Genomic DNA, 27,486 nt, shown 5'->3' with positions numbered 1-27,486 from the left:
AGTATTACATGAAGGATCAAAAAAATTTTTTAAATTTCTTATTTTATCTTCAAGAAGCCTATTCCAGAACAAAAATAATAAAACTATTTAGCAGTTATTTCTTCAGATGATTTTTTAGTCAAATTTTTAGTCAAATATATTCGTGTCCAAAGATGAAGAACATAATGTCATGTATTGAAGAATGTGATGGAACTTCAAACCCTCATATAGGACGTGAGTCCATTTACTTAGCGCTTGACGAGACAAGCTGGGCCTGTCGGGTGGTATTAAAAGTCCCAGTCCCATGTGTTACCAAGGAGGCCGGCTCTACCTCAGGAGCCATGAGGGTTTCGGCGCCCCACCCTGAGGAGCTCACACCCATCCAGCAGGTGATCCCTTCCGAGGCTACCTGGATCAGTTTCTACTCAGACTCGCCTCCTACTGGCCCTAAGAACGCACTAACTCCACCCTAAGCCTCAGGCCAGGGGCCCAGTAGTGGCCGATCTGCGCATGCGCACTCGAGGCAAGGCGGCCACTCCCAGAAGTCTCCGGGGCTCGAGCGGTGGGTGGGAGGCGCGGTCCAAGTGGTCGCTGCCGTATTTCTCGTAGGTTTTTAGGATTCTGGACTCCATTTCTCACCGGTACCTGCGGTCCTGACTGTTCTGGCTTGGACTACATATTACAAAGGCAACGGAGAAAACTTGGACCCCTGGCTCCGGTTCCGGGACCTTTTGGTTCCACCTGAAGAAGGCGGCGCAGGTCACTGCGGGAGCCTCTGCAGCCCCAGCCCGCCGCCCGCGTGGTACCCTGCGTGGCGGTGAGAGTGGGGCTGCAGGAGGCGCTCAGAGCGCGGAGGCCCCCAGGCGGGCCGGGCGAGTCTCCCGCCTCCTCAGGCCCTAGGGTGCTGGAGCTGCGGAGGAGGGGCCCGTCTCTAGGAGACAGGCGGGGAGCGTGAGAGACCGCGCAGCGGCGACAGGACCGGCTTGCCTGTGTGACGTGGGTGCAGTTGCGGGACTGTGAGGGGTGCGTAGTCGACCTTGTGTGACCTGTACATGCCGTGTGTGTCCTTTGTAAAGCGTGCTTCGCTGGGCTCTGTGGGGTCTATTGACCCTTGGCTCCAGGTTCCCTGCTGCTTCCTGTGCCTTCCTCAGCCTAGTACGACTACAACAGAGAAATGGTCCCAATGGGAAATCAGATACTGAGTCTTAGATGAAGATTTCCAGTGAGAAGAAACAGATAGGATGAGAAGCTTAGAAGAGTAATTGCCCTTAAGAAAGGTATGATAGATTCTGTTAAATAAAAAAGTATTCAGTGACACTTGTTAAAGCATGCAAAGAACCCTTTATTCAGGACCATGGTGGTAGGTATTGGGATCCCGGCTGTGAGATTTTGCAGTGGGTAACAGACATTGGGCTCAACTCCGAATTCAGCATGAACAAGTGGGAATTTATAGCCAAGAAGGTTAGGGATCACTGGATGAGAAATTACTAAGAGGAAATGTCTGGGTTAAGGAAGATTCTGACTAAACGCACCTAACAGGATTATTTCTGGAGAGAGAGACCTGGGGGACGGTGGAGGATGAAGATACGGAGGCGAAAGGGTCTTGCTAAACTGACTTAGAATAGTTCTTTGCTATAGCCAGATTTTACAGTGAAGTGTACAGATGGGCCTAGCTGAAGGTGTAGTAGCCTGACTAAAATTTGGTCTGGCAGGGTTTGTCAGTTTCGAGTGTAGGATTCCCTCCTGAAAAGGGTTGTTACTCCGCCCCCACCTCCCGGTTCTTGGAGTTTCATTTACATGTTTAACAAACACGGCCTTGAATTCTGACCCCAAGAACCTGCAGTGAAGGATGATTGCAGGTTCCATCCAACATACTTCCTTCTGGTCGTGTGTATGAAATTACGCGCCTGCAGCCTTGGAGGGGGGAAACATAAGCGCTAAGTATTATGAGGCAATTTTGGATATTCCGTTTTGGATTTCTGTAGATCAAAAGCAACAAGAATATGAACTTAGCCGTGATGTGAAGGAAGTGAGCCAGAATTTAAGTTTTCCAAAATAGGAATTCTCGGTCATTGGTGTACTGTCTGTAGACCAATGCCCTTATGGGCATAAGGGACATCACAAACCCCCTGAAATTCTATAAAGAATTCCTGTACATGTTTGTTAATTTGCATTTTTCTAGGATGTCCATAATCCAAATTATTTAGACTCAGGTTTTAGATCTGGAATCAAAGAGTTTTATACCTTTGAATGGTTTTGCAGAAAACTAATGAACGAGATTATGGGAATGGTTAAGAAAATTATACAGCGTCCAAGGGATTGGATATTATACAAATAATAAGATTTATGTTTGTAAAGAATCTGTCACAGGATAAATAGCTGTGATCTAATGTTTAACACTATTTAGAGTTACAGTGGTGGATCACAGTTCTCAAACTATATATGCAACTCTTTTTCTTTCTTTTTTTTTTTTTTTTTTTTTTTTGAGACTGAGTTCCGCTCTTGTTGCCCAGGCTGGAGTGCAATGGTGCGATCTCTGCTCACTGCAACCTCCGCCTCCCGGGTTCAAGCGATTCTCCTGCCTCAGCCACCTGAGTAGCTGAGATTACAAGCATGGGCCACCATGCCTGGCTATTTTTTTTTTTTTTTTGTATTTTTAGTAGAGACGGGGTTTCTCCATGTGGGTCAGGCTGGTCTTGAACTCCCAACCTCAGGTGATCCACCCACCTTGGCCTCCCAAAGTGTTGGGATTACAGGCGTGAGCCACCACGCCCAGCCGCAGCTCATTTTTTAAAAATGGAATTTTGGGCCTGGCACAGTGGCTTCCGCCTGTAATCCCAGCACTTTGGGAGGCCGAGGCGGGCAGATCATGAGGTCAGGAGATTGAGACCATCCTGGCTAACATGGTGAAACCCCGTCTCTACTAAAAATACAAAAAATTAGCCGGGCGTGGTGGTGGGCGCCTGTAGTCCCAGCTAGTCGGGAGACTGAGGCAGGAGAATGGTGTGAACCTGGGAGGCGGACCTTGCAGTGAGCCGAGATCGAGCCACTGCACGCCAGCCTGGGCGACAGCGCGAGACTCCGTCTCAAAAAAATAAAATTTAAAATTAAAATTAAACAAAGGGAATTTTGCAAAAACTTTTGCAAGGATTGTATCCAAAATGATTATTTAATTGGTTTTTCAGAGAGGAATGAAAGGGTTGTGGCTACATTTACTGAGCATATAATGTGTGCCCCAAATTATTGGACCTATTTTGTGTACCTGTTCCCATTAGATGTGCAGAAGCCATTTCCCTGTCCACTAAGGAAAGAATCTTTATAGTGAATTGTTTCTAGTTATGTAGAAGAAACACAGCTAAAGGCTGTTCAAGAAGACAAAGAGTTACATGTTTTAGTCACGCTGATTTTTCATTCTAGGCCTAATATTTAGATTTCTTTTAATGACACATGTACCCTCTCCCCATAAGGATACTTTTAGAAATAGTTTATTACTACTTTGAAATATCTTGAAGTTATATTTATGATGATGGAATTAAGGCAGTTTCGTCACAAAAATTTCACTCCCTAAGATAGTTTCAAAGAAGAAATTTAGAATAACCCAAACCTCCCTGCCCAGAGAGAATCACTTTACAAATTTGGGTGTATATGTTTTCAGTTTTCATGTGTGAGCACTTGTGTGTGGTTTTGTCTTTACAGAAGAGAATTAATGAAATAGACAGACTCCTACTTTTAGTTAGAAAAAGGAATCTAACCCAACCATGGATATAAAACCAGTATGATGAGACACCATTACTTTGGACTGAGCTTCTGCACTAGGCTCCAACAGACCAGACTAAACCAAAATGAAGTCACTCATGCTAAAAGCCACATTACAAAACTGAAACTTTAAGGGAGCAGGTAGAGTTCCAAACAGATCAGTTTTTCCTGAAAACAGGAGACTCCAGTCTACCTGAGTCAGCATAATAAGGAAATGACCTCCGCTTAACCTTCCAGAAAAAAGTAAACTGAAGTAGCCTGATAGTCACCAATCAATTTTTTTTTCTATAGTTCTCTTATTTGTTTCCACCTTACAAAATCCACTGTTTCTCCATTGCTCAGTAGGAGCTCTTACGCTATTTTGTACAATGGAGGCTACCCCTTTCATGAATCACAAAGCCCATTAGATCTGTAAGTCAATGTGTTGCAACTAGGTCTTTTGACATGGGCTTTCATATATCTCTGCATTTTAAGAGGAGAGGGAGCTACCAGGGACCTCCTTCAGAGGTGAAAAACAATCCAAGTTTTTATACCTTTTAGGTATTAAAAATGCGATTTAAAACTTAACAGGGCACAAATGATGAAGACATCCTCTCAGAATTAGTAGTTTAGAAATGCAAAGTTACTGCAGAGAAAAGCATGGTAATCTATGATTTCCAGATGTCTTGCAAGTATGGTAATATTTCCAAAGATAGTTCAGTAATAATAACAAATAGGTATTGTGATATTTACAAATACTCACATAAATGTTTGTATTTGGCAGGAAAATAAGATTCACTCTCCTTAATATTCTTGACCTAGCACTTTATTAGATCCAGTTCTTTGAATGTATGTGAGGCTGAGTGGTATCTTCCTTGTTTTCTGTACCTGCTGGGGAGTAAGGAAAGGGGCATTTTCTCCTTACTTATCTGATCATCTTTTTTTTTTTTTTTAGATGGAGTTTCATTCTGTGGCCCAGGCTGGAGTGCAATGGCATGATCTCAGCTCACTGCAACCTCCACCTCCTGGGTTCAGCAATTCTCATGCCTCAGCCTCCTGAGTAGCTGGGATTACAGGCATGCATCACCATGCCCAGCTAATTTTGTATTTTTAGTAGAGATGGGGTTTTACCATGTTGGTCAGGCTGGTCTTGAACTCAGATGATCCGCCCGCCTCAGCCTCCTGTAGTGCTGGGATTACAGGCGTGAGCCACCACACCCAGCCAAAAAAAACCTAATTTTTTTTTTTAAAGAAGACTTGTATTTTCTTAAAGGTGGGCCATGAAATTTGTAAATTCGGAATTATGAGTAGGAGAAAGCCCATGAAGCACAAACTTTAAGAAACAGAAAGTGGCTGGGTGCAGTGGCTCATGCCTGTAATCCCAGCACTTTGGGAGGCTGAGGTGGGCAGATCACTAAGTCAGGAGTTCTAGACCAGCCTGGTCAACATAGTGAAAGCCCATCTCTTCTAAAAGTACAAAAAATTAGCCGGGCATGGTGGCACACGCCTGTAGTTCCAGCTACTCGGAGAGCTGAGGCAGGAGAATAGCTTGAACCTGGGAGGTGGAGGTTGCAGTGAGCCAAGATTGTGCCACTGCACTCCAGCCTGGGCGACAGAACGCGACTCCATTTCAAAAAAAGAAAGAAAGAAAGAAAAACAGGAAGCAACAGAATTAAGTTCCTTTTATAATAACGGATTAATGAGCATGTGGTATTTTTTAACATTTGATGATAATGTTATTACAGTAGCTATCATATTTTACTTTTTTCGTGTTTCTATAGATCATCTTGATTAATCTTCAGAACTGTCTCGTTAAGTAGGATATATTCCTATCCCTTATTTGCTGATGGGGAAACAGGCATTCATATGTTAGCATCTCTCATAAGGCAAAACTCAGTATCACTTTTGAGAGTGAGAAGACAGCCTGTCTTCTTAATTTCAGCAGGATACCACGTAACTAATTTTTGCATACTTTTTTTTTTTTTTTTTTTTTGAGATGGGGTCTCACTCTGCCATCCAGGCTGGAGTGCAGTGGCATGATCTTGGCTCACTGCAACCTCGGTCTCCTGGTTCAAGCGAATCTGGTGCCTCAGCCTCCCAAGTAGCTGGGATTACAGGCACCCGCCACCATGCCCAGCTAATTTTTTTTAAAATTATTTTTACTGGAGACAGGGTGAGTATGTTTGTTGTTGCTGCTGCTGCTGCTGCTGCTGCTGTTGTTGTTGTTGTTGTTGTTGTTGTTGTTTTGAGACGGAGTCTTGCTCTGGAGTGCAGTGGCGCGATCTTGGCTCACTGCAAGCTCCGCCTCCTGGGTTCACGCCATTCTCCTGCCTCAGCCTCCCAAGTGGCTGGGACTACAGGCGCCCGCCACCACGCCTGGCTAATTTTTTTTGTATTTTTAGTAGAGACGGGGTTTCACTGTGTTAGCCAGGATGGTCTGGATCTCCTGACCTCGTGATCCGCCCACCTCGGCCTCCCAAAGTGCTGGGATTACAGGCATGAGCCACTGCGCCCGACTGGGTGCATACGTTTTTAAACCTGTCTTATTTACTAACTCATCCTTGGTACTATTTTCCTTTGATTATATGATTTAAGATCAATCTTAGTAATCATGGCATAGGATGTTACCATAGTCCGGAGAATAATATGTTTAACCTACTCCCTATTGTGCTTTTAATATTTGTGTTTTTAATTTCGATAATCAAAAATTATCTTTGATGAATGTATTGTACGTATTGGTTGTGTACTTCTATCGTTATTTCCTTTTTAAAAATTCTTACAAGTGTACCTGTGAATTTTGTGGTAAAAAAGACTTTTGGGCCGGGCGTGGTGGCTCACACCTGTAATCCCAGCACTGTGGGAGGCTGAGGCTGGCAGATCACGAGGTCAAGAGTTTGAGACCAGCCTGGCCAACATGGTGATAACCCCATCTCTACTAAAAATACAAAAATTAGGTGGGTATGGTGGCAGGTGCCTGTAATCCCAGCTAGCTACTTGGGAGGCTGAGGCAGGAGAACCACTTGAAACCAGAAGGCGGAGTTTGCAGTGAGCCAAGATCATGCCACTGCACTCCAGCCTGGGCAAAAGAGTAAAACTTTGCCTCAAAAAAAAAAAAAAAATCAGACTTTTATTAAGTGCTTCTACTACGCCACACCTGAAAATTGCAGTATTTGAAATGGGACAATCACTGAAAAGATGAGTTGCTTCCTCTGAAATACTTTTACAGTCTATGAAGGAAAGTCAAATCTGAATAGGAGGAAGTTTAAGGCAGTGTGTGATAGAGTCTGTTTGGAGAGATTTAGGTGAACTACTTGGTGATGTCACGTAACAGAGACATCAGTCTGAGTATAGCAATAGTCAGGCTATGAACAAATTACACTGAGTCTATGGGCTATGTATGGTGATAAACAGGTTTTATACTACATCTTTTAAACCTTGTAGTTTTCACTGTAATGATACTAGATAGAAAGCAAAATTAATTGCATGAGGAAATTCAGCAGCTATCTAGAGGATATCCTGACCTACCTGCCAGATTTAGGAACGAAATAAACCCTTCTGTTAAGAAGACCTGAAATAAAGCTGTATTGAGACCATCATCCATTCACAGAGGAGATTTCTCAGGGACAGTTCCCCATGTTGTTGGAGACACAATTCTAACATATCTGAGAACCGGTGATGAAGTGAGTTTAGGTTTGGGGACCCAAAGGAACCCACAGAAGATAAGCCATTCAGTAAGATGATTTTAAATTTAGAGAAAAAATAATTTTGTTGAAATTCCCACCTTAACAAATTGGAAACACATACATGTTTCAAGTTAATATGTCCGTGCTTACAATAATCGTGAAGGAAGTATTAATAATGAAAAAATCAAGAGCCACACAAAAGTATAGGGAATGCTATTTATCAAACTCTGATTATGGGAAGTTGCTAAGCAAAGGTTTATTTACTTTTCCTTTAGTTTTATTTAGTTGTTTCATGTATTCAGCCAAAATGGAATACATAGTGAGATATAAGCACTATGACTATAAGCACTTTTTTGTTTCTTGGAGACAGAGTCTTGCTCTGTCACCCAGGCTGGAGTTCAGTAGCACAATCATGGCTCACTGCAACCTTGAACTCCTGGGCTCAAGTGATCCTCTCGCCTCAGCCTCCTGGGTAGCTGGGACTACAGGTGCATGCCACCTTGCCTATTTTATGATTATCTGTCTGCCAGCCTTTCTCTCTGTATTGATGGATATGTATTTATATATTTTACAAAAATAAATGTATTGGTCAGTCTGATCTTTATGTTGACATTGTTTCTGATATTTTTCATGTCCTTGAATTTTTCTCAATTTCACATTTAATGACTAGTTTGTATTCTAGGACAGTGATAGTCTGTTATATATTTAACTAGGAAGCTTTGCTAGACTTAGAATGCTGAACACTCGCCATCTGTCTCCAATATCTTGACCAATTTCCCCAGTTTCAAGACTAAAAAGAGGTTCTGGTATGGATGATGTTCCCTGTTTTTACCCTTAAAGGAGGGAATGGAAAGAGGTAGTTCTGCTCAAAGCAGGACAGGGCTGCCTAATCTGAGGTCCCCATCTGCCTCACCAACATCGTACATTGGCCAGAAAATTTCCTACTGAATTATCTGGGTCTGGTTTCCATGACAGTATGTTTCTAATGTATGACTCTGTGTAGGTGAGGCCCTTGGGTAGTGGGGGAGGAAATGGGTTTATCCAGAATCTTAATCTTCCCAAATTGTATGTGAGAGGAGGTAGTTTGTAACTTGGAATGGAAGAGGAAAACAGTACTATTACCTTGAGTCCTATGGGGACCACTAAAGCACAGCTGGTCTCAAGGTCTTCTCTTCTTTCAGGTCTTGGTTCTTTTGACTTTGCTCTTCTGGTAGAGAAACGCCAAGGACTGATCAACTCTTGCCAGTCTCAAACCATGTCCTATGTAAGTTGATATTTCTCGCCATGTGGAGGTTTGTGTGTGATTTTTTAGGTCATGTATGTCTTCTCATCATTTTTCCTGAAGTTACCTTCGTGAGACGGTGCTCAGTTAACCTAATCTCCAGTTCTCATTCTTCCAGTAAAATATGTACCACATCACCCAGCATCCTCGCTAGGTGGGCCACTGCAAATTCACTAGCATTCATGTTGTTATTGACCAAATTAATGTCCTCTAGGTGCCCATTCTTCTATTTTGGGCAGTGATACAGAGGAAAGGAGTCAAGTTCTTTGAGTACAGATAATACGCATTTCAGGTTGGTTTTGTCATTTGTTGCGATTGAGACAACAGTTCCATTTGACCATCCATGGGAAGTCTTTGAAATTTTCCAGACATCTGAATTTTTCAGCTAGATAAGGTGGAAATTGGCATTGAAGGATCTAAATCTTCAGGTAGGGTAAAATCTCATGTTTTGTGTGAATTAGTCTATTGGATTGGAACTTGTAAACACAGAAATCGTGGATTTGGATAGAAAGTCCTGAAAAACAAATACCATAAAATAATAATGTCATGATAAAATCCTTTGTCAAAACAAACAAAAATGCTCATGGTAAGATTTAATGTAATGAAGTACTTGATGCTTGAAGAAATTATTAATTTTAAGGAAACCTAGTTTTCTGGAGTCAGATGCGTGAGTCAGATGCGCTATTGTTGCACCACGAGGTCACAGGAAACCTAGTTTTCTAAAATTGAGAATCTGTACCATATTTTGCATAAAACATCTCTTGATTAAAAGTTTAAATTCTCTTCCAAGTCAAAATATTCCTCAGTTAACACACATTGATTGAGAAGTTATGAGGCAGATACCACCAGGGCATTATGTGCATAATAATGATTTAGTTTAATAGAAAAACATTATTATTTTGTCATTTTCAAAAAGGTCAGATACCTAAGAAGTGTCCCAGAACAGGCAGAAAGTTTTATTTGTGTTTCAAGCTTCTTCAAAAATATGTATAAATTCTGCTTCATTCCCCTCCCTGATAGCATAGATTTCTGGTCTGTATGCTGGTTATATTGCTCTTCTGCTGCAATGCACTCCTTCATCTCCTCCACTCCATTTTCGTTTTTCTTTTCTTTTTTTTTTTTTTTGAGATGGAGTTTCGCTCTTGTTGCCCAGGCTGGAGTGCAATGGAGCATTCTCAGGTCACTGCAACCTCTGCCTTCTAGGCTCAAGGGATTCTCCTGCCTCAGCCTCCTGAGTAGCTGGGATTACAGGCATGTGCCACCACGCCAGCTAATTTTGTGGTTTTTTTAGTAGAGACAGGGTTTCTCCATCTTGGTCAGGCTGGTCTTGAACTCCCGACCTCAGGTAATCTGCCCGCCTTGGCCTCCCAAAGTTCTGGAATTACAGGCGTGAGCCACCGCGCCCGGCCATCCACTCCATTTTCTTTTAATTTTTTTGAGACGGAGTCTCGCTCTATTGCCCAGGCTGGAGTGCAGTGGCGCAATCTCGGCTCACTGCAACCTGCGCCTCCCAAGTTTAAGTGATTCCCCTATCTCAGCCTCCCGAGTAGCTGGGAGTGCAGGCATGCGCCACCACACCCAGCTAATTTTTTGTATTTTAGTAGAGACGGGGTTTCACCATGTTGACCATGATGGTCTTCATCTCTTGACCTCATGATCTGCCCGCCTCGGCCTCCCAAAGTGCTGGGATTACAGGCGTGAGCCACAGTGCCCGGCCCCTCCACTCCATTTTGGAATTTCCCCAGTAATACATGGGTTTGCTGTTTCAGGGATCAATAACATTCGGGGATGTGGCCATAGACTTCTCTCATCAGGAGTGGGAATATCTCAGCCTGGTTCAGAAGACCTTGTACCAGGAGGTGATGATGGAGAACTATGACAACTTAGTCTCATTGGGTATGTTTATCAACCTGGAATGATTTAGAATAATTTAGAATCATCTGTTTCGTAGGATACATTCTTTTTCTGTTGTGGTTTTCAGGGCTGCCTTTTAAGAAACTAAATTTATTTTCTCTATTTCTATTGAGGTGGTTTCAGCTTTGAGTCAGTAATGGCAGGTCCTTTCAACACTTTCATCTTCTCTATCTTTCAGTGACATTCACACCTCCCTCTGATACCTCTTTTATTTGTCTCTTTAACCCAGTAAGTGGGTTGAACCAGTGGTTTAGCTTGGAATTTTCTGGTGTTCATTGTAGAACCATTGTCAGGGCGTTCAGGTTTCTTATTTATTTTGTGCACAGAATTGCTATAGTGCTCCATTTTATTATCTGATCCATTTGCAGTGATATTACTTTGAAAGAGGGTGCTGAATTGCCGTTATTATTGAAAGAGACTGTTCATATAGGCATAGAGTGGTGGACTGGATAAATGAAACTTACTTAAAATTGAGAAGAAAGTAGTCCATTTCCTGAGACAGAATTCATTTGATTTATGGTTGAAGCTTATAATCCATGAAAATCACATGTAAAATGGGATGAATATACTATAGATATCTCTTCTTGTATAGTCTTAGTAAAATAATTGCAGCAGTGTAATGTGAACAGCTAGCATTGTGATTTCCACACCAACATTTTTCTAATTACTTTACTCATATATCAAGTAATTTAATACTCCCAACAGCTTTATTGTTTTCCCAATTTTATAAGTGAGAATACTGACCAGCAGTGTAAGTAACTTGCCCAAGGTCACACACAGCTGGAAGGTGACAGAGTCAGGAATTGATCCCAGGCTTTTTTTTTTTTTTTTTTGAGACAGAGTCTTCTGTCACCCAGGCTGGAGTGCTGTGGTGCGATCTTAGCTCACTGCAACCTCCGCCTCCCGGGTTAAAGTGATTCTCCTGCCTCACCCTCCTTAGTAGCTGGGATTAGAGGCACTACCACCACACCTACAGATAATTTTTATATTTTTAGTAGAGACAGGGTTTCACCATATTGGCCAGGCTGGTCTCCAACTCCTGACCTCAGGGCCTCCCAAAGTGCTGGGGTTACAAGGCATGAGCCACCGCACCCAGCCAATCCCAGGCTTTAGAGTATGTGTTTTCAACCACTTTATGCTTGCTTTCTACAGTTAGAGGACATATAAGTTTAAATTTCTTTTGAGACTGGGCACGGTGGCTCATGCCTGTAATCCCAGTGCTTTGGGAGGCCCAGATGAGCGGATCACAAGGTCAGGAGTTCGAGACCAGCCTGGCCAACATGGCGAAACCCCATTTCTACTAAAAATACAAAAATTAGCCAGGCATGGTGGTGCACGCCTATAATCCCAGCTACTCAGGAGACTGAGGCAGGAGAATCACTTTAACCTGGGAGGCGGAGGTTGTGGTGTGCCGAGATGGCGCCGTTGCACTCCAGCCTGGGTGACAGAGCGAGACTCCGTCGCAAAAAAAAAAAAAAAATTTTTTTTGAAAACCAGCAAACAAAAACATTGACTCTCCCTGGGTGATCTTTTTCTTTATTTCCCTCACTCTTCTCTAAAATCTTACTCAGTATCACTTTGACCTTTCATTTATTGCAATTGTAATTTTAAATTTTACCTTCAAAGTTGATTTCCGTATTTTGTGGCACTTCTTTTCTTTGTAAGCAGGACATTCCGTATCTAAGCCAGATTTAATCACCTTATTGGAGCAAGGAAAAGAGCCATGGATGATTGTGAGGGAAGAAACAAGAGGAGAGTGTACAGGTAAGAGCAAGTCAGGCAGGGGCAGCCATTTTTGTATGCAAATAGCCCTCGTGGAAGTGGTCATCTCATTTGGTAAACGCATCCTTGAAACATTGGTCATAAATTTCCCTTCTCAGCGAGGAGGCTTCTGATGTGGAGAAGAAATGGATATCTCAGCATGAAATAGCCAATGAAGGCCCAGCGCTGTGGCTCACGCTTGTAATCCCAGCGCTTTGGGAGGCCGAGGCGGGCAGATCACCTGAGGTGATCCACCACAGTAGCTGGGACCACAAGTGCATACCACCACACCTGGCTAATTTTTTTTTCTTTAGAGATGAGGTCTCCCTACATTGCCCGGGCTGTTGTCAAACTCCTGGGCTCAAGTGTTCCTCCTGCCTCAGACTCCCAAAGTGCTGGGATTATAGGTGTAAACCACCGTGCCTGGCCCAGAATTGTTCTATATCCCCCTGCCCAACCTTTTTTTTGTTTTTGAGATAAGGTCTCACTCTGTCACCCAGAGCAGGAGTGCAGTGGCACAGTCTTATCCTCTGAAGTATCTGGGACCACAGGTGTGCACCACCACACCCAGCTAATTTTTGTATTTTTGTAGAGACAGGGTCTCACTATGTTGCCCAGGCTGGTCTTGAACTTCTGGGCTCAAGCGATCCACCCGTCTCAGCCTCCCAACGTGCCAAGATTACAAGTGTGAGCCATCTCACCCGGCCTGTTCTATATCCACATTGTGGTTATGAACAACCATATGCATTTTCCAAATCTCATAGAACTGTATATCAAGAAAAGTGAATTTTGGCCGGGCTCAGTGGCTCACACCTGTAATCCCAGCACTTTGGTAGGCCGAGGCGGGCAGATCACTTGAAGACAGGAGGTCAAGACCACCCTGGCCAACATGGCGAAACCCCATCTCTACAAAAAATATGAAAAATTAGCTAGGTGTGGTGGCACTGCCTATAATCCCAGTTACTTGGGAGGCTAAGGTGGGAGGATCACTTGAGCCTTGGAGGCAGAGGTTGCAGTGAGCTGAGATCACAACACCACACTCCAACCTAAATATGAAAAATTAGCTAGGTGTGGTGGCACTGCCTATAATCCCAGTTACTTGGGAGGCTAAGGTGGGAGGATCACTTGAGCCTTGGAAGTAGAGGTTGCAGTGAGCTGAGATCACAATACCGCACTCCAACCTGGGTGACAGAGTGGGACCCTGTCTCAAAAAAAAAAATTAAGAAATTCTTGTCAAGTTACAACGCGAGCCGTCTGGCCACGGTGGGGAAGAGAGTGCTAATCGTAAGATTACAGAAAGCGTCCCCTCTGAAATACCTTACCTCCTCCTCAGCAGAGCTACAGAGTAAAAATTGTGGATTCCAACTGAGAGACCTGCAAGACAGTCTCCATTTAAGAAAGAATTGCTAGGGAAACCCAAAGAGAAGACATAAATAAAGACTGGAAGAATTGAAGCTGCAACACAAACACAGCTACAGCACACAATGAACACGGCCTAACTCCTACGCAGACGAACCTCAAACTTTGCACTGAAGGTGTATTCACCTCAGTTCCTATTACAGGACACATCATGTCCAGCTATTTCTTTCTTCTTTCTTTTCTTTTGTTTTTCCCTTCCCCCTTCCCCCTTCCCCCTCCTTTCCTTTCCTTTCCTTTTTCCTCTCCTTTTTCTTCTCCTTTCTCCTCTCCTTTCTCCTCTCTTCTCCTCTCTTTTCCATCTTTCGAGATAGAGTCTTGCTCTGTTGCCCAGGCTGGAGAAAAGTGGCGGCATTTTGGCTCACTGCAACCTCCACCTCCTGGGTTCAAGCAATTCTCCTGCCTCCGCCTCTCGAGCAGCTGGAACTATGGGTGTGCTGCCCAGCTAATTTTTGTATTTTTAGTAGAGACAGGGTTTCACCATGTTGGCCAGGCTGGTGTCAAATTCCTGACCTCGGGTGATCCGCCCACCTCGGCCCCCCAAAGTGCTGGGATTACAGATGTAAGCCACCATGCCTGGCATCAACCTGTTTTTATAGGAAGTGTTTGGGTTATTGATTTAATCACTTTATGAGAACAAAAGAGAGAGAAAGAGAGAGAAGGGAGCAGGGGTGGGGGAGAGAGAGAAAGGAAGAGAAAGAAATATAGTTTTTTTTCTTTTTCAGATTTTCAATTTCTTCTTAAGTAAAAATTGGTGCTTTGTATTTTTCTTGGAAGTTGAACATGCATCTAAGTTTTTTTTTTTTTTTTTTTTTGGAGAGAGAGTCTTGCTTTCTTGCCCAGGCTGGAGTGCAGTGGTGCGATTTCAGCTCACTGCAACCTCCACCTCCCAAGTTCAAGTGATTCTCCTGCCTCAGCCTCCTAAGCGGCTGAGACTATAAGCGCCCACCATGATGCCTGGCTAACTTTTGTATTTTTAGTAGAGACAGGGTCTCACCATGTTGACCAGGCTGGTTTCAAACGCCTGACCTCAGATGATCTGCCTGCCTTAGCCTCCCAAAGTGCTGGGGCGTGAGCCACCATGCCCGGCCCTGGCAAACTGTTTTCTGAAGGGCCCGACCAGCTTAAATTATTTACTGGATGGTAGTGTTCATTGCTTTATCTACTTCTTGGTCAAGCTTTGGTGGTCTGCTTCTTTCAAGGAATTTGTTCATTTCATCTAAGTTGTCAAATTGATTGGCATGGGGTTGTTCATAATACTTTATGATTTATAGTGATAATCCCTTTTTTATTCCTGAAATGGGTCATTTATGCCTTCTTTCCCTTTTCTCCCCTTTGGGTGGAGGTTTATCAATTTCATTGATCTTTCAAATAATCGGCTTTTGGTTTCATTGATTTTTTTCTCTATTGATTTTCAGTTTTCTATTTTATTATTTTTTCTGATGATTATTATTTTTATTCTTCTTGCTTTGGGTTTGATTTGCTCCTCTTTTTCTGTTAAGGCGAAGACTGAGTTTTGTTTTGTTTTGTTTGTTTGTTTGTTTGTTTTTTAGACAGAGTCTCGCTCTGTTGCCCAGGCTGGAGTGCAGTGGCGCAATCTCGGCTCACTGCAAGCTCCACCTCCTGGGTTCACGCCATTCTCCTGCCTCAGCCTCTTGAATAGCTACAGGCGCCCGCCACCATGCCCGACTAATTTTTTGTATTTTTAGTAGAGACGAGGTTTCACCGTGTTAGCCAGGATGGTCTCTATCTCCTGACCTTGTGATCCGCCCGCTCGCCCGGTGCTGGGATTATAGGCGTGAGCCACTGCACCCAGCCAACTGAGGTCTTTTTTTGTTGTTATTTATGCTAACATAGATGTTAGTGTTGTAAATTTCCCCTAGGTAATTCTTTATTAGTTAGTATTCCATAAAAGTTGATACATTGTGTGTCCATTTTGATTCAGTTCAGATTGCTTTCTAATTTCCTTCTTGATTTCTTCTTTGACCTATGGTTTATTTAGAAGTATGTTGGTTTGTTTTCTAAACAGTTAAGGATGTTTCAGTGTTGGTTAGTGATTTATAATTAGTGCCATTATGATCAGAGAACATGCTTTTTATGACTTGAATTGTTTTAAATAATAATTGAGATTTGTTTTATGTACTGTGTGGGCCCTCTTGGCAAATATTCCACATGGGCTTGAGAATATTGTATATGTTGGTGTTGGGTGGAATGTTCTGTGAATATCTCATGTAGTTTCTTGGTTAATACTGTGCAAATCTTGTATATTTTTACCGTGTTTTTGTGTACTTGTTCTGGGAATTGTTTCTAGAAAAATATTTCCATTTCCAGTTATATATTTTTTTTCTTTATTTTTGTTTTTTTTTTCAGACGGAGTCTTACTCTGTCACCCAGGCTGGAGTGCAATGGCGTGGTCTTGGCCCACTGCAACCTCCGCCTCCGGGGTTCAAGTGATTCTCCTGCTTCAGCCTCTGAGTAGCTGGGACTACAGATGCATACCACCACACCCAGCTAATTTTTGTATTTTTATTAGAGACAGGGTTTCACTATGTTGGCCAGGCTAGTCTCGATCTCCTGACCTCATGATCTGCCCACCTCGGCCTCCCAAAGTGTTGGGATTACAGGTGTGAGCCACCACGCCTGGCCAATTTCCAGTTATGTTTTAACTTACGTATTTTTCATTGCATTTCAATCAGTTGTTGTTTTATGTACTTTGAGAGTCTGTTATCAGGTGCATAAGTGTTTGGGATTTTTATGTTTTCTTGATAGACTGATCCCTTTTATGTTACGACATGCACCTTCTTGAGTCCTCCTGTTTTTCTTTGTCCTGAAATCTATGTTGTCTGATATTAATATAGCCCACCATTTTTTTGGTTTGTTATATTGATTCCATCTTTTTACTTTTAATATTTTGTGTCTTTAAAGTATGTTCCTTGTAGCCATTACATAGTGCATAAGGGTTCCAATTTCTCTGCATCCTCTTCAACATTAGTTATTTTCTGTTTTGTTTTTGTTTTTGTTTTTACCAGTAGCCATCCTGATGGGTGTGAGGTGATGGGTCATTCACTATGTTAATCTTTGCCTTTTAATTAAAGTGTTTTGACCCTAAACATTTTATGTAATTATTAACATGATTACATTTAGGTCTACTACTTTACTTTTTTTCTCTATTTAGTTTCTCTGTCCATTCCTTTTGTAATTTTGATTATTTCAATTTTTTTTTTTTTTGCTATTTATTTAAATTTACCTGTTGGTGGGGTGTGGTAGCTCACGCCTGTAATCTCATCACTCTGGGAGGCCAAGGCGGGCGGATCACCTGAGGTCAGGAGTTCGAGACCAGCCTCAACATGGAGAAACCCCGTCTCTACTAAAAATACAAAATTAGCCAGGCATGGTGATGCATTCCTGTAATTCCAGCTACTCGGGAGGCTGAGGCAGGAGAATTGCTTGAACCTGGGAGGCGGAGGTTGCAGTGAGCCGAGATCACACCATTGCACTCCAACCTGGGCAACAAGAGCGAAACTCCATCTCAAAAAAAAAAAGTAAAAATAAAAATAAATAAATAAATTTACCTGTTGACTTTTGGGTTGTATCTCCTTGAGTAATTTATTTTAGGTAGTGTTATAGGTATTATAGTATACAATATACATGACGTTTCGCCAGCTAGATAGAATTGTTCTTTCTCAACAAATGTATAAACCTTGTATTTTTATAGGTTTATATCCACCTTTACCCTTCATGTTATAATTTCCATGTATATCACATCTTCATATGTTGTAAACCTCACTAGGCAGTGTTATTAGTTTTGCTTTTAACAGTCATATTAAAGAACTTAAGGAGCAAAAAATTATTTTATTTACATCATCTTTTGTGATGCTTTTCTTATATTCTGAAGATTCAGATTTCTCTGATAGTATTTTCTTTGGGCCTAAATAACTTGTTAGCATTTTTTGTATAGTAAGTCTGATGGCAACAAACTAATTTGCTTTTATCAGTAAATGTAACATATCTTACTTGGCATTAAATGAGCATCTTAATTCTACAAATTTATTTCTTTCACTAAATTTGAGATGTTTTCAATTGCTATTTCCTGAGATATTTTTCCTGCCAAAATCTTTGTTTTTTAGTTTATAATTTCAATCATATCTTTTGATTTATTCCCACAGCTGTTTACACATTTTTTCTTCTTTCTTTTTTTTTTTTTTTTTTTTTTGAGATGGAGTTTCGCTGTTGTTGCCCAGGCTGGAGTGCAATGGCGCAATCTCTGCTCACTGCAACCTCTGCCTCCCAGGTTCAAGTGATTTCCTTGCCTCAGCCTCCCGAGTAGCTGGGATTACAGGTGCCCGCCACCATGCCCAGCTAATTTTTTGTATTTTTAATAGAGACAGGATTTCACTATGTTGGCCAGGCTGGTCTCGAACTCCTGACATCAGGTGATCCACCCGCCTCAGCCTCCCAAAGTGCTGGGATTACAGGCATGAGCCATCACACCCAGCTAAAATTTTTTAAACCATTTTTCTCTCTCCATTTCAAGTTGAATAATTTCTATTGATCAATCAAGTTTACTGACTCTTAGTGATTATATGTTTCAGTTGTATAATTTGCATTTTCATCCTTTTCTGTCTCCCCCCCATGGTTATATCTCCTATGTTGTCCATCATTTCCAGTGTGTTTTTCTAAGCTTTGTCTTAATGTTCTGATGTTGCAATCATATTAGCTAGCATGACAGGCATTAGCCATTGAGCCTGGCTCCAAACCTGGGTATGCTACTGTTATAAATAAAGTTTCGATGCTGCAAAAGAAATAGCACTCGAATATAAAATTTTCTTTTTTTTAAATTTTCAGCAAGGTAAGGTACTTGTATAGAAGTGTGCGCTTTCACCGATGGAGCAATGGTGGGCACACATTTGGACAAGGGAGGGGAAGGGGTTCTTATCCCTGACGCACGTGTCCCCTGCTGCTGTGTCGTTCCCCTATTGGCTAGGGTTAGACCGCACAGGCTAAACTAATTCTGATTGGCTAATTTAAAGAGAATGACAGGGTGAGCGCTTTGGCGGGAGTCAGGGCAGAGCAGGTAGTAGGTAACTGGAATGAGTTAGGGTGGAGCAGGTGATCAGAATGATTTAGGGTGGAGTAGGTAATCGAAAAAGGTTGCTTTAGAGGAAGTTAAGTTTAAATGTAGAAGGCAAAGATTGAACATACTGATAGATTAATTCTTTGAAGAGAAATTTAGAATTCATATTCAACACTACTATTTTTATTGTTTTGTTTACTCACAACTCTAAGTCTTTGAAGACTTCCTTTCTTTTTTTAATTATATTTTCAGGTTCATGTTACCTGTTCCCTTCCTGAATTGTTTCTCTGGAATATCTTATGTGCACATTTTAAAAATTCAGATATTGAGAAATTACAAGATAGGGGGTAAAATGTGCTCATATTAACTGTCTTTTTAGCAGCTTTTTGTATTTCATCTATGACAATTGACTATTTAGACTTTTCACTTTTAGGGTCATCTTTGAAGAATATTCCTACAAAATCATTCACTGTTTTTAATACTTTCAAAATATGTATATATACTCTCATAATTTAAATAAAATCTCTTTCTTATTTTCCCTTGTTTCTTATTTTTATTTTTTATTCTTTTTTGGTTGCTTTAGCTCATATTTCACCCGATGATTTTTGTAAACACCATGTCTTTGATTTAGGTGTTGACACTATTCCGTTTCCTAACCCATCACATTCTGCTTTTATCTTTATTTTCCTGCTTTCCTGTACCTTGCTCTTAAATTCCTAAATGTTGGGTAGTGATCTTTTACTTATTTTCTTTCCTTTTTATTGAGATAAATATTCACTCTGAACTCCCTGCCTGCCGATACTGAATGCCCATGATTATGATGTGTACCCATTTTCTCCGTCATGATTTCCTTACCCTTTATGTTATAATTTCCATGTATATCACATCGACATATGCTGTAAACCTGATCATTCTTCAATGAAAATCTTCCCTGAAATATGGGTGTTCCCGAAACTGTAGTTTATTCCTTTCTATGCATGACCGTGTATCCTACTTTTCTCTATATATTAAATAAGATACTGAGTTTCTATTTAGTTATCTTACCCTGACATTTTCTTATTACTTCTGGTCCTACAGATGTTCAATCTGCTGGAATTCTTCCATTTTACTCTTCTATTTCCATATCGATACTTGCCTGTATTCTTAGCATATGATATAAATTTATATACAGGGGGTGTGGTACAGCTGGTCAGTTCTGTCATTCTAGAGCCAGTTATGCACATATATTAATAAATCTGCATTAAATTGACAGCTAGAAATTGCCCTCAGTGGGAGTATTTACACCAGAGATCTTGGCAAACACTACAAAACAGGGCTCTGTGTGTGTGTGTGTCTCTTTGTGTATGTGTGCCTGTGTGTGTAAGGCTGCATTCCACTGCACAAACTCATTTTTTTAGCTCTCCTTTCATTTTTTATATTTTATAACTGTATTTTCGAGTTAGCATCTGTAATAGGTGAGAATTTCTCTTAATTCTACAATAACATTGACATTTTCTCATCCAATAAAATGTTTTTATTTTATGTCTTCTAGATTTGGATTCAAGATGTGAAATAATCAGCGATGGGAAAATGCAGCTTTATAGGAAACACTCATGTGTTACTCTCCATCAGAGAATTCATAATGGACAGAAACCATATGAGTGTAAGCAATGTCAGAAGTCCTTTAGTCATCTTACAGAACTCATGGTACATCAAACAATTCATACTAGTGAGGAACCTGATCAATGTGAAAAGTTTAGGAAGGCATTTAGCCATCTTACAGACCTTAGAAAGCATCAGAAAATTAATGCTCGTGAGAAACCTTATGAATGTGAAGAATGTGGGAAGGTCTTCAGTTATCCTGCAAACCTTGCTCAACATGGGAAAGTTCATGTTGAGAAACCCTATGAATGTAAAGAGTGTGGGGAAGCTTTTAGGACTAGCCGTCAACTTACTGTACATCATAGATTTCATTATGGTGAGAAACCCTACGAATGTAAGGAATGTGGCAAGGCCTTTAGTGTGTATGGACGACTTAGTCGACATCAGAGTATTCACACTGGTGAGAAGCCCTTTGAATGTAACAAATGTGGGAAGTCCTTTAGGCTCAAAGCAGGCCTTAAAGTACATCAGAGTATTCATACTGGAGAGAAGCCACATGAATGTAAGGAATGTGGAAAGGCCTTTCGTCAGTTTTCCCACCTTGTGGGTCATAAAAGAATTCATACTGGAGAAAAACCCTATGAATGCAAGGAATGCGGGAAGGGCTTTACATGTAGGTATCAACTTACCATGCATCAGAGAATTTATTCAGGGGAGAAACACTATGAATGTAAAGAAAATGGGGAGGCTTTTAGTAGTGGCCATCAACTTACTGCACCTCATACATTTGAAAGTGTTGAGAAACCTTATAAGTGTGAGGAATGTGGGAAAGCCTTTAGTGTGCATGGACGACTTACTCGACATCAGGGTATTCATAGTGGTAAGAAACCCTATGAATGTAACAAATGTGGGAAGTCCTTTAGGCTCAATTCATCCCTTAAAATACATCAAAATATTCATACCGGTGAGAAACCCTACAAATGTAAGGAATGTGGGAAGGCCTTCAGTCAGCGTGCACACCTTGCCCATCATAACAGAATTCATACTGGTTACAAACCCTTTGAATGTAAAGAATGTGGGAAGTCCTTTCGTTGTGCCTCATATCTTGTTATACATGAGAGAATTCATACAGGAGAGAAACCCTATGTATGTCAAGAGTGTGGGAAGGGTTTTAGTTATAGCCATAAACTCACTATACATCGCAGAGTTCATACTGGTGAGAAACCTTATGAATGTAAGGAATGTGGGAAGGCCTTTAGTGTATCTGGACAACTTACTCAGCATCTGAGTATTCACAGTGGTAAGAAACCCTTTGAATGCAACAAATGCGGGAAGTCTTTTAGGTTCATTTCTGTACTTAAAGCCCATCAGAATATTCATAGCGCTGAGAAACCCTACGAATGTAAGGAATGTGGCAAGGCCTTTCGTCATGCCACAAGCCTCATATATCATGACCGAACTCATGCTGGTGAAAAGTCCTATGAATGTAAAGAATGTGGGGAAACTTTTAGTCATGCTTCACATCTTATTATTCATGAGAGAATTCATACCAGTGATAAACCCTATGAATGTAAAAGATGTGGGAAGGCATTTCACTGTGCCTCATATCTTGTTAGACATGAAAGCGTTCATGCTGATGGAAATCCCTATATGTGTGAAGAGTGTGGGAAAGCTTTTAATAGTAGCCATGAACTTAGTATACATCATAGAGTTCATACTGGTGAGAAACCCTTTAAATGTAACAAATGCAGAAGGTCCTTTAGGCTTAGATCCATCCTTGAAGTACATCAGAGAATTCATATTTGATAGAGAAATTGTGGCATATACAGGTAGTAAAGAAAGCACATTGTGTCAATGGATTTATCCCACTGAACAATTTGAATGAAGACAATGTGGAATGGCTTTGAGATACAGTTCAGTTTTTATTAGGCATCAATTTGTATTGGTGTGAACTTTTCAAAATGTAAATCATATATGCAGTTTCTTTGGTATGACCTGTGTTAACTCAGATTCAGAGAATTTATAATGTATTTTTTTAATAACATAAGAAAACTTTTCTGATATTCCTCTAGTTTTGGATTGCCAAAATATTCACAGTAGAGGAAAACTGAGAAAACGTAGGAAACCATTCTTTATACTTGCATGTAAACATCTTCCAGCAACAATCATTTATTGTTAAACCTGGAAAAAGCCATTACACAGGAAACCTCTGTTGATATAAGCGATGATGGGAAAGGCTATTTAGCCACTCTGCATATTTAATGCTCATGATCAACATCTGCTTCCTATAGCTGGGATGATATGGGGGAAGATATTTATCCCTTCTGGGGATCATATATAAATGATGATAGTAGTACCTACAGTATAGTGCTGTTAGAATTACATGAGTTAGATGTGGAGGTCAGAGTGGAAGCAGGTGTGAGAGGGTCCCGCAGAAGAAAACATGGCTGCCAAAGTGTTTGAGTCCATCGGCAAGTTTGGCCTGGCCTTAGCTGTTGCAGGAGGCATGGTGAACTCTGCCTTATGTAATGTGGATGCTGGGCACAGAGCTGCCATCTTTGACCAATTCCGTGGAGTACAGAACATTGTGGTAGGGGAAGGGACTCACTTTCTCATCCCATGTGTACAAAAACCAATTATCTTTGACTGCTGTTCTCAACCACGTAGTGCGCCAGTCATCACTGGTAGCAAAGATTTACAGAATGTCAACATCACACTGTGCATCCTCTTCCGGCCCATCACTAGCCAGCTTCCTCGCATCTTCACCAGCATTGGAGAGGACTACGATGAGTGTGTGCTGCCGTTCATTACCACGGAGATCCTCAAGTCACTGGTGGCTCGCTTTGATGCTGGAGAACTAATCACCCAGAGGGAGCTGGTCTCCAGCCAGGTGAGCAACAACCTTATGGAGTGAGCAGCCACCTTTGGGCTCATTCTGGACGACGTGTCTTTGACACATCTGACCTTCTTGAAGGAGTTAACAGACAGGTGGCCCCCCAGGAAGCAGAGAGCGCCAGATTTGTGGTGGAAAAGGCGGCCATCATCTCTGCTGAGGGTGACTCCAAGGCAGCTGAGCTGATCGCCAACTCACTGGCCACTGCAGGGGACGGCCAGAGCGAGCTGTGCAAGCTGGAAGCTGCAGAAGACATTGCATACCAGCTCTCATGCTCTCGGAACATCACCTGCCTGCCGGCAGGGCAGTCCGTGCTCCTCCAGCTGCCCTAGTGAGGCCCCAGCCTACCTGCACCTCCGTGAGGCAACTGGGCCACAGCCCCGATGATTCGTAACACCACCTTTCGCCCTCACCCCAGAAATCACTGAAATTTCATGATTGGCTTAAAGTGAAGGAAGTAAAGGTAAAATCACTTCAGATCTCTAAAAAACAAAGAATTACATGAGTTAGTACATGAAAAAATTATGGGAAACTACATGAAATATACTGTTACGTTCAATAAACATTAGCTTCTGTATATAATAATATCATTACTTGTGTTATTTTTAGTGCATTTTGACGAAATGAAAACCATTAACCATTCAAGTTTAATGAATTCAAAAAAGTTTTATGCTTTTTAAATTTGAATTCATTCTGGGTAAACAGATAATAAGTAAAAACCATAAGAGGGCTTTCATTCCGATCTGTTTAGGTGAATCAGACACTTAATCCTGGAATGAAATTCAGATGTAAGCTGGGCAGTGTGGCTCACGCCTGTAATCCCAACACTTTGGGAGGCCAAAGTGGGTGGATCACTGGAGGTCAGGAGTTCAAGACCAGACTGGCCAACATGGTGAAACCCCGTCTCTACTAAAAATGCAAAAATTAACTGGGCGTGGTGGCAGGCGCCTGTAATCCCAGCTACTCGGGAGGCTGAGGCAGGAGAATTGTTTGAACCCGGGAGGTGGCAATTGCGGTGCGCGGAGATCACACCACTGCACTCCAGCCTGGGTGACAGAGCAAGACTCCATCTCAAAAAAAAAAAAACCTGCCTGAGAAAGCTCAATGCTGTTCTGAAAACATACTGTTCCAGCCAAAACCTGTAAATAGTGATAGGTCCTTAAGCCCCCTCTTAAAGCAGTTACTTTAGAAAGCTTGCAATTATAAACCATTTCTCTGCCCCTTTGAGATGCAAATCTACCACCAAGAGCTGTCTCCTCAGCTGAGTTTGAAATGCAAACATTCAGAGAGCCAGCTCTTGCTCCAGCCTCTCAGTTGCTGTGGGAGTGTAAGGGCCTAACTTTGGTGGCTGTCTTGCTCCAACTTTCACAACTACCTCAGTCGTAAAGATACAAGAAGTTTGTTTCTACTCTGGATAAATACCAATTAGTTAAAAAAAAAAAAAAAAAAAAACCTGATGCCTTAGTCATATGGACCAAACTCCCCCGTAACACCTTTCAGTGTCTTCTTTAGTACACCCCAACATTTTCAACAACTCCTGATTTTTGTTTCCCAAAGTGGAGCTCAGTTCACACTGGATTCTGTTCCCTAATGCAGTAGTTATTACTGAATAAAATCTGTCTTTACTGCCTTTTACTATTGTCTCACTTTGTTTCTTTTTCTTTTCTTTTTTTTTTTTTGTTTTTGTTTTTTTGAGATGCAGTCTGGCTCTGTGGCCCAGGCTGGAGTACAGTGGCCATGATCTCGGCTCACTGCAACCTCTGCCTCCTGGGTTCAAGTGATGCTCCTGCCTCAGCCTCCCAAGTAGCTGGGATTACAGGCATGTGCCACCACACCCCGCTAATTTTTATATTTTTAGTAGAGATGGGCTTTCACTATGTTGGCCAGGCTTGAACTCATAACCTCAGGCAATCCACCCACCTCGGCCTCCCAAAGTGCTGTGATTACAGGCGTACGCCACCACGCTTGGACTCTTTTCTTTTCTTTGAGACGGAGTCTCGCTCTTGTCACCCAGGGTGGAGTGCAATGGTGCAATCTCGGCTCATTGCAACCTCCGCCTCCCAGGTTCAAGCCATTCTCCTGCCTTAGCCTCCTGAGTAGCTGGGATTACAGGTGCACACCACCACGCCTGGCTAATTTTTGTATTTTTAGTAGACACGGGGTTTCACCATGTTGGCTAGTCTGGTCTTGAACTGCTGACCTCAGGCGATCTGCCCACCTTGGCCTCCCAAAGTGCTGGGATTACAGGTGTTAGCCACTGCATCTGGCCTTTTTGTTTCTTAAGACAGGGTCTAGGTCTGTGGCCTAGGCTGCAGTGTAGTCATGCCATCCATAGCTCTTGGGCTCAAGTGATCCTCTGGCCTCAGCCTCCAGAGTAGCTGGGATTATGGGTGTAGACCACCAGGCCCAGCTAATTAAAAAAAAAAAAATTTGTAGGCATGGGGTCTCACTATTTTGCCCAGGCTGCTCTTAAACTTTTGGCCTCAAGCAATCCAGCTGCCTTAACCTCCCAAAGCACTGGATTACAGGCATGAGCCACTGCGCCCAGCCCCACTGTATTTCTCTTTGACAAAACCTAAACATTCTGTTTATTTGAACACCACTTATATTTATGTTAATGTTCTGAGTAAATGTAAATGAATACTGACAAAATAATAGTATAACATCAGAGAGATTTTTGTTTGTTTGTTGAGACGGAGTCTCGCTCTGTCACCAGGCTGGAACGCAGTGGCACAATCTCAGCTCACCACAACCTCTGACTCCCTGGTTCAAGCAATTCTCCTGCCTCAGCCTCCTGTGTAGCTGGTATTCTACTGGTATTAGCTGGGTGTGGAGGCACGCGCCACCACACCCAGCTAATTTTTGTATTTTAGTTTCACCATGTTGGCCAGGATTGTCTTGATCTCCTGACCTTGTGATCGGCCCACCTCGGCCTCCCAAAGTACTGAGATTACAGACGTGAGCCACCACGCCCAGCCTAGAGAGGTTTTTTTAAACAAAACGAATATGTAACTGATATCTTGTATTTTAAATTTAAGAGGGCATATGAAATTGAATGCATTCTGTGAGAGGAGAGTCAGAGTATTGATAAATTTGGACTTATTAAAATTCCTGGAGTAATGACTTAAAGAACCTACAAACTATTAAAGAGAAAATTGGAATAGTAATACATCAATCCAACATAAAGAAAGGAGAGAAAAAGGAAACATGCAACAAAAAGAAAACAAATTAAAATGCCAGGAGCTAATGCCTGTAATCCCAGCACTTTGGGAGGCAGAGGCGGGAGGATCGTTTGAACCCAGGAGTTCAAGGCCAGCCTGGGCAACATAGGGAGACCCTGTTTTTAAAAAGTAATAAATAAGGCTCCGAAGCAGGGAATGGGGGCAAGATGGTTTACATCTCAAACGCACAAGTGTTGGACAACTGGAGTCAGTCTCCATGGAGATTATCTTTGATAACAGATTTCTTCTGGGGAATAGCTGAGTTTGTGGTTTTGTTTTTCAAAACTCTGCTTCGGCAAGATTTGAAAAAAAGAAGAAGCTATGGAAACTCATCTGATTTCAGATACGATGACGATGGAAGAGGGCCACCGGGAAACCCTCCTGGAAGAATGGGTCCAATCAATCATCTGGGTGGCCCCAGTCCTCCTCCAATGGCTGGTGGATGAGGAAGGTGTCTGCTCTAAGAAGCAACTGGACATGCATATTCATAGCAGAAGGAAACCATCAAGAAGTGGAGTGCTGACCATGCTGCAGCAGTAGATGAAAGTGTGTGTCTAAACAAGGACTGCTCTGTGTCCTCACAGATGACTGAGGTCATGCTGGGAGTTCCCTCTGCAGGGAACTGGCCTGATTGACATGCAGTTCCACAAATGCACGTTTGTCTCATTATCTTTAGGGTATTAAAGTATTAATATAGTTTTTGTTGTTGTTGTTGTTGTTGTGGTTTTGAGACAGAGTCTCACTCTGTCGCCCCGGCGAGTGCAGTGGTGCGATCTCGGCTCACCACAACCTCCGCCTCCCGGGTTCAAGCGATTCTCCTGCCTCAGCCTCCCGAGTAGCTGGGACTACAGGCGCACGCCGCCATGCCCAGCTAATTTTTTGTATTTTAGTAAAGACGGGGTTTCACCATGTTGCCCAGGCTGGTCTCGAACTCCTGAGCTCGGGCA

The 27,486-nt window shown here is 42.1% G+C and overlaps 1 protein-coding gene and 1 pseudogene across 6 annotated transcripts, besides 4 other annotated features; both read left to right on the top strand.

The window, feature by feature from the left end:
* The first annotated feature begins 509 nt into the window (after nt 1-509).
* Nucleotides 510-23,908, top strand: ZNF607 (zinc finger protein 607). Of its 6 annotated transcripts, none has more exons than NM_001375895.1 (5): nt 510-1,002; nt 8,579-8,661; nt 10,449-10,575; nt 12,262-12,357; nt 20,376-23,900. In NM_001375895.1, exons 2-5 carry the CDS (start codon nt 8,653-8,655, stop codon nt 22,229-22,231), a joined length of 2,088 nt encoding a protein of 695 aa, NP_001362824.1. In that variant the 5' UTR covers nt 510-1,002; nt 8,579-8,652; the 3' UTR covers nt 22,232-23,900. The 6 variants fall into 6 exon arrangements, with proteins under 6 accessions (NP_001362824.1, NP_116078.4, XP_047295509.1 ...); NM_032689.5 differs by having other exon boundaries at nt 12,259-12,357; NM_001172677.1 differs by lacking the exon at nt 510-1,002 and adding an exon at nt 1,083-1,256 and having other exon boundaries at nt 20,376-23,908.
* Nucleotides 749-858: a silencer, noted in NCBI's record as "silent region_10558". NCBI's record gives its function as "represses an Ori minimal core promoter by ATAC-STARR-seq in GM12878 lymphoblastoid cells {active_cell/tissue: GM12878}" and the evidence as "EXISTENCE:reporter gene assay evidence [ECO:0000049][PMID:35858748]".
* Nucleotides 919-1,008: a silencer, noted in NCBI's record as "silent region_10557". NCBI's record gives its function as "represses an Ori minimal core promoter by ATAC-STARR-seq in GM12878 lymphoblastoid cells {active_cell/tissue: GM12878}" and the evidence as "EXISTENCE:reporter gene assay evidence [ECO:0000049][PMID:35858748]".
* Nucleotides 23,069-23,743: an enhancer, noted in NCBI's record as "H3K4me1 hESC enhancer chr19:38187429-38188103 (GRCh37/hg19 assembly coordinates)". NCBI's record gives its function as "activates a minimal SCP1, AML or CMV promoter by ChIP-STARR-seq in primed H9 embryonic stem cells {active_cell/tissue: H9 hESC(primed)}" and the evidence as "EXISTENCE:reporter gene assay evidence [ECO:0000049][PMID:30033119]".
* Nucleotides 24,420-25,095: an enhancer, noted in NCBI's record as "OCT4-NANOG-H3K27ac-H3K4me1 hESC enhancer chr19:38186077-38186752 (GRCh37/hg19 assembly coordinates)". NCBI's record gives its function as "activates a minimal SCP1, AML or CMV promoter by ChIP-STARR-seq in naive and primed H9 embryonic stem cells {active_cell/tissue: H9 hESC(naive and primed)}" and the evidence as "EXISTENCE:reporter gene assay evidence [ECO:0000049][PMID:30033119]".
* On the top strand, nt 26,680-27,240 carry SELENOKP1 (selenoprotein K pseudogene 1; annotated as a pseudogene).

This window comes from Homo sapiens, chromosome 19, assembly GCF_000001405.40.
Source record: "Homo sapiens chromosome 19, GRCh38.p14 Primary Assembly".
In the NCBI taxonomy this organism is placed as follows: Eukaryota; Metazoa; Chordata; class Mammalia; order Primates; family Hominidae; genus Homo; species Homo sapiens.
Note: the sequence above shows the minus strand (reverse complement) of the source record. Positions and strands in the feature narration are given on the sequence as shown.

Bases quoted from the DNA above. Each gene is read 5' to 3' on its own strand.
- ZNF607 (XM_006723435.5), top strand. The intron at 10,576-12,258 runs GTATGTTTATCA...TTTCTTTGTAAG, and splicing joins TGACAACTTAGTCTCATTGG to CAGGACATTCCGTATCTAAG. The intron at 12,358-20,375 runs GTAAGAGCAAGT...TATGTCTTCTAG, and splicing joins AACAAGAGGAGAGTGTACAG to ATTTGGATTCAAGATGTGAA.